This window comes from Homo sapiens, chromosome 4 (assembly GCF_000001405.40).
Source record: "Homo sapiens chromosome 4, GRCh38.p14 Primary Assembly".
Classification (NCBI taxonomy): Eukaryota; Metazoa; Chordata; class Mammalia; order Primates; family Hominidae; genus Homo; species Homo sapiens.
The window spans coordinates 109700266-109709860 of NC_000004.12; the positions used below are offsets into that span (position 1 = coordinate 109700266).

Genomic DNA, 9595 nt, shown 5'->3' on the forward strand with positions numbered 1-9595 from the left:
GAGTTTGGGTTGTCTCAAATATGCCCTCACATTAGTCAAGACCTACAGGTTTAGGAATGGCTAACTAGTATTAAGTAGCTGCTCAAGAAAATCTGTTTAAAATGACGTTCTGGCCGGGCATAGTGGCAAGCCTATAGTCCCGGTTACCTGGAAGGCCAAGGCAGGAGGATCTCTTGAGCCCAAGAGTTCTAGGACATAGTGTGCTATGACTGCCCCTGTGAATAGTCACCATACTCCAGCCTGGGTAACAGAGCTAGACCCCATCTCTTAATACATTCAGTTTCAAAGTTAACAGATTTGGCAACCTCAGTGAGGGATTTTTTTTTTAAGTTTTTTGTTGTTGTTGTTGTTTGTTAATGCTACGGATGTAGAAAAAAACCTAGGCTCTGGACATCCCAATTCTGATGCTGGCCAGCTGTAACTTACCTTCACTCTCACAAAGTGCACCCTGCATCCTGCAGTACCAGTTAATGACCAGGTCCAGTGGCCACTCTAGCAAACACTGAATCAGAACAAAAAGCTATGGAGACAGATGCCAGGACCTAAGTTCCAATACTTTTCTGGAGTTGATAAACTTTACCCACAGATTGAGAGAAAATAACACATCATGACCACCTTGAGCTGTGTATCCCAAGAAGACAAGCTTTCCAGAAGGGGGCACTTAAGTATCATTATGCCGCATTAATATTTATTTTTTATTACTATCTTTTTGGGATGGAGTCTTGCTCTGTTGCCTAGGCTGGAGTGCAGTGGCGTGGTCTCGGCTCACCACAACCTCCGCCTCCGGGTTCAAGCGATTCTCCCGCCTCAGCCTCCTGAGTAGCTGGGATTACAGGCATGCGCCACCACACCCAGCTACTTTTTTTTTGTATTTTCAGTAGAGACAGGGTTTTGCTATGTTGTCCTGGCTGGTCTTGAACTCCTGGCCTCAAGTGATCCACCTGCCTCAGCCTCCTGGAAGTGCTGGGATTACAAGCATGAGCCACCACGCCCGGCCTGCGTTAATATTTAAAAACCTGGATAAAGTAAGAAATAGCTTTATTGATATGGAGAAAATAAATTTTAATGAAGGAGCTACCCTGTATAACAGATATAGAAATTCCTTTTCATCTGCAATCTACTTATCAAAAATGTGCCCTTCTTTAAACCTGATTCTTGACCTCTTTTCACTTTTTTTTTTTGAGACAGAGCCTCCCTCTGTCGCCCAGGCTGCAGTGCAGTGGCGCAATCTTGGCTCACTGCAAGTCCACCTCCAGGTTTCAAGCGATTCTCCTGCCTCAGTCTCCCCAGTAGCTGGGACTAGAGGCGCCCACCACTGTGTCTGGCCCTCTTTTCACTTCTCTTCCTTTGCAGGATAATGTAACTGCCACCTCCTTATTCCTTAAATCAGCTTAGGTTTTACAAAACTAATCATTCCTTTTTTCACCTCACTCTAATTTGATAGTCCCTCCAGATAATCCTGCCAGCTACCATTTGTTGATGGCCTGATGCCTTAGATACCTTATCTCACAGCTCCACAGCTCAGGAACAGGGACAGAGAAAGTGGGCCAGGCGTGCCAAGGTCGGCAAAGTGAAGCTGGGATTGAAAGCCAGCCCACCTACAGATTCCAAAGTCTCTGTAGGCCCATCCCCACGCAGCCCCTCCCACCCGAGACCGGCTACCTTTCTAAACTTTGTTCAACTTCCCAAACGACTTCGGTCATTCTACTGTCATCGTCTTCATTCACTGCACTCTCTATGAAAATCTACCCATCGGCTCCATCAACAATGTATTTAGTAACCCTATGTAGAGTAACCTCCATCAGGCCTAGAACATGCACTGGGGAGTGCGGTGGAGGAAGAAGAGGAAGGGAGCAGGTGAGTGAAGGAAAGCCCCGGCTTCCCGCCCCTAGAGACTGCAACTGGACCCTGCACTGTGCCTCCAGGACAAGGCTACCTATCTACCTCCTCTACGACCATGTGACTTTTACAGCTTGCCTCTGGAGCACCATTTCCTTTGTGCAGCAAAATATAAAGAGTTCTTAAACAAAGGCACTCTAACCAACTGCAGGCGTTTCGTTCTTTTTTTTTTTTTTTCTTCTTGATTCGAAGTCTCACTCTGTCGCCGAGGTTGGAGTGCAGTGGGGCGATCTCGGCTCACTGCAACCTCCACCTCCAGGGTTCAAACGATTCTCTTGTCTCAGCCTCCCCAGTAGCTTGCGCCCAGGCCTGGCTAATTTTTTTGTATTTTTAGTAGAGACGGGGTTTCACCGTGTTAGTTAGGCTGGTCGAGAACTCCCGACCTCTGGTGATCCGCCCGCCTCGGCCTCCCAAAGTGTTGGGATTACAAGGCGTGAGCCACCACGGCCGGCCAACTGCAGGCGTTTCGACCTTTTTGTTTGTTTCACTCTGGCCAGGCTTGAAGTTTCTAAACTTTACCAGTAATAAGTGACAGAACGTACGCTCTTAGCAGTTGATTACTTTGCAGAAAAAAGTTATTGTGGTTTTGGCTCAAACCGACAGACAGCAGCAGGTTTCCTGGATGAAGAAGAGAGATACCGGGGTGTGCTGGCCGCCAGGAACTGGCCGCCTCCAGCTGAAGCCCGGGAGGACCCAGGGTCTTGGCCCGGGCACCCCGCGGGCCTGTTATGTTTTCATTATGACTCGGCGGAACAACCCCTCCTTTTCACTTTTCGAAGTGAGCAAACAAAAGATCCAACCCCCAACATTTCAAACGGCCAGGTGTGGGGGAACGCCAGGCCCGCGTGGGGACAGCCTTTTAAGGTTTAAACAGCCGGGGCGCCCCGAAAGCGCTCATCGCCCCGGAGGACAAAGGCGGCAGGGGCACGCCCCGGCGCCGGCGTCGCTACTCGGGACCGCCAGGAGGCGGCAGCCAGGTCCCCGAGTGTTTCTTAGACTGAAGCGCGAAACCGTCCCCACCCGCCCTGAGCGCTTCAATCCAAGAGTGCAACTTCTCCAGGCCGCCCTGCAAAGCCGAAGGAACCCGCGGCCCCACTCCGGTCCGCGCGCCCGGTCCACTAACCCTCGTTTCCCCTCCAGCCGGAGCAAGACGCAGACCTGCTCGGTGCCCAGTCGACGCCCCCTGCCTACCTGCCGGGTGCCCCCTGCGGAGCCCCGAGGCCGAGCTCATTGCAGCCAAACGCGCAGCCAGACACCTTGCCCTCCTCTTCCTGAAGCCACAGGCTCCCGGGCCCGGCCCCGCCCTCGGCCCTTCCTCGGCGGCCCCGCCCCCTGCCCCCGAGCGTGGGGCCAGTTGGTTCTGATTGCGCGCCGCCCGGGCTCCCGTGGATCGGGCTGGTCCTTCCCAGAGTTAAAGCTCCTCCCAGTCGCTCCGGAGCCCGCGGGGACCAAGAGCGCGGGGGCAGGGAGAGGTACGCGGTCTTCGCCTCCAGGCCCGCTGGGACTAACCGTGCCCTGGGGACATGCCAGTTGCCACCCGGGGGGACACACAGACCGCCTAGCCCGAGGCAATTTCACATCACTTGTGTGAGCTCGGACTCATTTAATCCCAGCTGCCCCAAACATTTGCTATTCCTTACTTTGCTATGCCTGTACTTTCTAGAGGTACAGGCATAGATTGTTTTATACCGCTTAGCAGATACTGCCTGTATTTCAACATTGGCTCGCTTTGTGTCTCTGTGTCACATTTTGGTACTCTCGCAATATTTCAAAATTTTTCATTGTTATTATGTCTGCTGTTGTGATCTGTGATCAGTAATCTTTAATATTATTGCAATTGTTTTGGGGCACCATGAACCGCGCTCATAAAGGAAGGGGAAATTAATCCATAAGCCCTGTATGTGTTTGGACTGTTCCACCGAACTTTCCCTTCTCTCTCCCCCTCCTGGGGCCTCCCTATTCCTGGAAACACAATTTTGAAATTAGGCCAACTAATAATCCTACAAAGGCCTCTAAGTGTCCAAATGAAAGGAAGAGCCTGTCACTTTAAATCAAAAGCAAACATGATTAAGTTAGTGAGGAAGTAATGTTGGTAGGCAGAAAGCTAGGCTTCTTGCTCCAGTTAGCCAAGTTGTGAGTGCAAAGGAGAAAAGCCAAGTCATGAATGCAAAGGAAAAAATTTTGAAGGAAATTAAAAATGCTACTCCAGTAAACACACAAAAGACAATAAAGCTAAACAGCCTTATTGCTGATATGGAGAAAGTTCTAGTTGGTCTGGATAGAAGATAAAAACAGCCACAACATTCCCTTAAGCCAAAGCCTAATCCAGAGCAAGGCCCTAACTCTTCAATTCTATGGAGGCTGAGAGAGGTGAGGGAATTGCAAAAGAAAAGCTGGAAGCTAGCAGAGAGGATGGTTCCTGAGGTTTAAGGAAAGAAACTATCTTCATGACATAAAAGTGCAAGGTGAAGCAGCAGGTGCTAACGTAGAAGCTGCATCAGGTTATCCAGATCTAGCTAAAATCATTGATAAAGGCAGCTACACTAAACAACAATCTTTTGTTTTTGAGACAGTCTTGCTTTGTCACCAAGGCTGGAGTACAGTGGTGCGATCTTTTGCAACCTCTGCCTCCTGGGTTCAAACGATTCTTCTGCCTCAGCCTCCCAAGTAACTGGGATTACAGGATGTGCCACCATGTCCAGGTTAATTTTGTATTTTTAGTAGAGACAGAGTTTCACCATGTTTGGCCAGGCTGGTCTTGAACTCCTGACCTTGAGCAATCTGCCCGCCTCGGTCTCCCAAAGTGCTGGGATTACAGGTGTGAGCCACCGTGCCCAGCCAAAACAACAGATCTTAAATGTATATGAAACGGCCTTCTATTGGAAGAAGATTCCATCTAAGACTTTCATAGCTAGAGAGAAGTCAATGCCTGTCTTCAAAGCTTCAAAGAACAGGCTGATGCTCTTGTTAGGGGCTAATACAACTGATGACTTTAAAGCCAACATTCCTTTACCATTCTGAAAATCCTAGTGCCCTTAAGAATTATGCTAAATATGATCTATAAATGGACCAACAAAGGCTAGTTAGTGACAGCACATCTATTTACAGCATGGCTTAGAGAATATTTAAAGCCCACTGTTGAGCTCTAGTGCTCAGAAGAAAGGTTCCTTTCAAAATATTACTCCTCATTGACAATACACCTGGTCATCCAAGAGTTCTGATAGAGATGTACAGAGACTGATGCTGTTATCGTGCTTGCTAACACAACATCCATTCTGAAGCCCAGGGATCAAGGAGAAATTTTGACTTTCAAGTCTTATTTACAAAATACATTTCATAAGGCTATAGCTGTCATCATGATTCCTCTGATAGTTCTGAGCAAAGTAAATTGAAAATCTTCTGGAAAGGATTCATCATTCGAGATGCCATTAAGAACATTTGTGATTCATGGGAGGTCAAAATATCCACTTACGGTATGTAACTAGAGACTAGAGGGGGAAAAAAAGAAAAACGAAAAATTAAAAGTACATGTATCAGCCACAGTGGCTCATGCCTGTAAACCCAGCACTTTGGGAGGCCAAGGTGGATTGCTTGAGGCCAGGAGTTTTGAGACCAGCCTAGGCAACAATGCAAGACCCTGTCTCTACAATTTTTTTTTTTTTTTAATTAGCCAAGAGTGGTGGCACATGCCTGTATTCCCAGCAACTCAGGACACTAAGATGGCAGGATTATTTGAGCCCAAGTTTGAGGCTGCAGTCAGCTGACTGTGCCACTGCACTCCAGTCTGGGTGACAGAGTAAGACACTCTTTAAAAAAAAAAAAAAAAAAAAAAAAAAAATATATATATATATATATATATATATATATAATATATATAAAATACATATATAAATATTTAAAAATTATATATATTTCAATTGGCACACTGGGTGGTATTTTACAGGCAGGACAACATACCTATCCATTTTATATATATATATATATATATATATATATATATATATATACACACACACATATACACACACACATACATTATACATAGGTATATGCATATATCTCCACATTAACAGGAGTTTGAAAGAAGTTAATTCCAATCCTCATCACTGATGTTGAGGGGTTCAAGACTTCAGTGAGGGAAGTCACTGTAGATGTGGCAGAAGTAGCAAGACAAATAGAATTGGAAGTGGGGCCTGAAAATGTGGCTGCATTGTTGCCATCTCATGATAAAACTTTGATAGATGAGGAGATGCTTTTTACGGATGAGCAAAGAAAGTGGTTTATTGAGATAGAATCTACTCCTGGTGAATATGCTGTGAATTGTGTTTAAATGACAACAAAGGATTCAGGGTATTAGTTGACAAAGCAGTGGCAGGGTTTGGGGGGATTGACCCCAATTTTGAAAGAAGGTCTGTGGATAAAATGCTACCAAACAGCATCACATGCTACAGGGAAATCTTTAGTGAATGGAACAATCAATGGATGGCCAGGTGCAGTGGCTCATGCCTGTAATCCCAGGACTTTGGGAGGCCAGGAGTTCGAGCCCAGACTGGCCAACATGGCAAAACCCTGTCTCTACTAAAAATAACAAAAATTAGCCGGGCACGGTGGCAGGCACCTGTAATCCCAGCTACTCAGGAGGCTGAGGCACAAGAATCACTTGAACCAGGAGGCAGAGGTTGCAGTGAGCCAAGATCATGCCACTGCACTCCAGCCTGAGTGACAGAACGAGACTCCATCTCAAAACAAACAAAAAAATGAAGCAAACTTCCTTATTGCCTTATTTTAAGAGATTGCCAGTCATCCCAGCCTTCAGCAACTACCACCCTAATCAGTCAGCAGCCCTCAACAATACCCCACACCAACATTTATAACTCGCTGAAGGCTCAGATGATCCCTAGCATCTTTTAGCAATATTTTAAAATTAAGGTATATACATTATTTTTTTAGACATGTTATTGCACACTTAACAGACTACACTTTAGTATGAAAAACTTTCATATGCACTGGGAAACCAGAAAATTTGTGTGACTCTTTTATTGGTGGTCTGGAACCAAACTCGAAATCCCTCTGAGGTATCCCATAGGGGGTGGCATATATGTTCCTGTTTCATGTGTAGTCCTTTCCCCAGTGCAAGTTACTTTGTAGGACTTGCAGTAACTTATTTTAAATGTTCTTTGTATATGAAACTTGGGCCAAAGTAAACTGGAGGTAACTCCTGGATTTTTTTTTTTTTTTTTTGAGACAGTTTAGCTGTTGTTGCCCAGGCTGGAGTGCAATGGCATGATCTCAGCTCACCGCAACCTCTGCCGCCCGGGTTCAAGCGATTCTCCTGCCTTGGCCTCCCAAGTAGCTAGGATTACAGGCGTGCACTACCATGCCTGGCTAATTTTGTATTTTTAGTAGAGATGGGGTTTCTCCATGTTGGTCAGGCTGGTATCAAACTCCCGACCTGGTATCTGCCCACCTTGGCCTCCCAGAATGTTGGGATTACGGGCATGAGCCACGACACCTGGCTTCTCCTGGATTTTTCAAATCTGGCTTTCATAGGTAGAGCTAATTCAGGGACAGAACCATGCAGAAATTCACAGAATGATGAGGGTCTCTAGATAATGGTGTTTCCTGGGGAGAGCATGTTGTCCTACCCCAAAAATAGCAGCCAAACAGTGTGCCAACAAGGTGCCATGGGGTGCTCAATGTTGGATTTAATTTAGCTCCTCCTTGGGTGGTTGGCTATTGTAAAAAATTTACTTTGACAATGCTTTCAGATTTGATGAAACGGTGGCTTTATCTTTTGTAATTCCTCTGGACCTTGTAATTTTAAAAGTAAGCAACCTTAGAGTGGGAAAAAAATTAAAATGTGTTAAGGCACCACTTCTAATATATTAAAATAAGTATAATGAATACTTAAGAAATAAGTATAAGGAACTCATCTCATACTATTATTTGGGAGAGAAAAAATCTAATTTGGTAACTTCTACATGTGCCTGTGGTTCAAGTCTTGATGTCATTAGAGTACGAAATCAAAGAAGGGTTTTTACTCAAACCATTTACTGTTCATTGTATGCATAAAATATTTCAGAAATCACTGTCTTAGTAACTTATCCTGCAACAAAGACATGGAATTTCCATATTTCCCTTGTATGGTGGTTGTGATGATTGGGTTAAGTGACTGTGAAGGACTCAGAATACTGCCTGCCATGTGAAGAGCTCAATGAATATTGGTTATTACCATCTTGTTGTACTCGTTGGAAACAGCAGTGGCATTTTTTGGTTTCCTCATTACCTACCCCAGTTGCCTTGCATGTGGCTCAATATTTAGCCATTGACTACAATTCAGGGTTTTCACATTTACACTCTGGCTTTTATCCAGTCTGAATGAGTTATCTGACCACCAGAACTTCCAGTCCTTTGGCCTCACTTTCAGGGTCTCTGAGTCCTGAAAACATTCCCTCGACAAGAGTGGAACTCCAGTTGGCTGACGTTCTACTTATCTGAAAAGAGCAGATGGAAGGAATTTGTCATTTTTTCTCCATAAGTATCTTATTATCTCAACATTACTACTATAGTCTATGTGGTTAAGTATTTTAAAACAATATTTTGTCTACCTTTTTTTCCCCTTATTCACCACTGATCAGGATTTTGTCTAAAAACATAAATACAGAACATTTTCTTGGGTACTTATTTCAGAATTACAAATGTATAATTTTAGCCTCTTAAAGCAACAGCTAGCCACAATAAAATGGCTGAGTGCCTGGGACTGGGAAACAGGCTGCCCAGGTTCTACTCACGGCTTCCCCATTTTATTTGCTGTTAGATATGTGACAGGTAATGCAACTTAACCTCTCATAGCTTCAAACTCTTTGTTGTAAAATGAGGTCCAAATCTATTCCAGAGTTTTTGAGACAGTAAATTGCAAACTCCTATGAAAGTACTGAACCCACAGCAAGCTTTCAGTACATTAGTTATTTTCAGCACTGAAGATTACCTAAACTACTTCCCAAGCTGTGGTCTATGAACCAGCAGTATCATCATCTGAGAACTTGTTAGAAATGCAAATTCTCCTGTCTACCCCAGACCTACTGAATCAGAAACTCTGGGGGTGGGGTCCAGCAGTGTGTTTTAACAAGCCTGCCAGTGAGTCTCACGCATGCTCATGTTTGAGAACCACCAACATAGACTGGAATCCTACCAAGCACTCTCTTCCCTCTCAAAGAAAAATATTCCCACAGCAAATCCATTAAAATTCAGATACACTAAGTTAACTGACAGGATGACTTGATTCTTCCTATATCTGAATAGTTTTCCATAAAAGTGACTTATTGAAACTGGTTTGCCCTCATATCTCAATCGTGTCTTCATTACAGCTTCTCTGTGCTCAATGTCTCCTTTATGAAATAAACAGCCATCTCTGTCCCTGGAAGAAATGTGCCAAAAGATTTTAAGGAGATAGGCATTATTCAAAGGCAATATATTATTTTAAAATATAAATAAAAGTGGAACTTATTAAAACTGAAGGTCTTGGCTTGTCACCTATCATAGGAATGAAATATAGGGAATAAAGTTAAGTTCAGAGATAATTCTACAACTTAAAAATTTTGGTCACTGATTTTGGTGTTTAATATTTTTTCTTACAGAATTCATAGAAATATTAATTTCTATGATGATTCTGATTGCTATACTTAAAACTTGAAAG

General features: G+C 44.3%; 1 protein-coding gene across 5 annotated transcripts in view, besides 5 other annotated features; it reads right to left on the reverse strand.

Annotated features, from left to right (window-relative positions):
• CASP6 (caspase 6) overlaps nt 1-9502 on the reverse strand; it is a 45380-nt gene extending 35878 nt beyond the window's left edge. For 4 of the 5 annotated variants that reach the window (NR_133012.2, XM_047416245.1, NM_032992.3 and 1 more), the window contains exon 1: nt 3091-3180. Coding sequence is in view for 4 of the 5 variants with exons in the window: in XM_047416245.1 (XP_047272201.1) it covers nt 3091-3130 (40 nt within the window). In the remaining variant the exon portion in view is untranslated. Of the gene's footprint in view, nt 1-3090; nt 3181-8189 lie in introns of those variants that run through there. The other variant, XM_047416244.1, reaches the window with a different exon arrangement.
• Nucleotides 1782-1841: an enhancer, noted in NCBI's record as "active region_21804". NCBI's record gives its function as "activates an Ori minimal core promoter by ATAC-STARR-seq in GM12878 lymphoblastoid cells {active_cell/tissue: GM12878}" and the evidence as "EXISTENCE:reporter gene assay evidence [ECO:0000049][PMID:35858748]".
• Nucleotides 2602-2661: an enhancer, noted in NCBI's record as "active region_21805". NCBI's record gives its function as "activates an Ori minimal core promoter by ATAC-STARR-seq in GM12878 lymphoblastoid cells {active_cell/tissue: GM12878}" and the evidence as "EXISTENCE:reporter gene assay evidence [ECO:0000049][PMID:35858748]".
• Nucleotides 2842-2951: a silencer, noted in NCBI's record as "silent region_15624". NCBI's record gives its function as "represses an Ori minimal core promoter by ATAC-STARR-seq in GM12878 lymphoblastoid cells {active_cell/tissue: GM12878}" and the evidence as "EXISTENCE:reporter gene assay evidence [ECO:0000049][PMID:35858748]".
• Nucleotides 3102-3391: a silencer, noted in NCBI's record as "silent region_15625". NCBI's record gives its function as "represses an Ori minimal core promoter by ATAC-STARR-seq in GM12878 lymphoblastoid cells {active_cell/tissue: GM12878}" and the evidence as "EXISTENCE:reporter gene assay evidence [ECO:0000049][PMID:35858748]".
• Nucleotides 3552-3601: an enhancer, noted in NCBI's record as "active region_21806". NCBI's record gives its function as "activates an Ori minimal core promoter by ATAC-STARR-seq in GM12878 lymphoblastoid cells {active_cell/tissue: GM12878}" and the evidence as "EXISTENCE:reporter gene assay evidence [ECO:0000049][PMID:35858748]".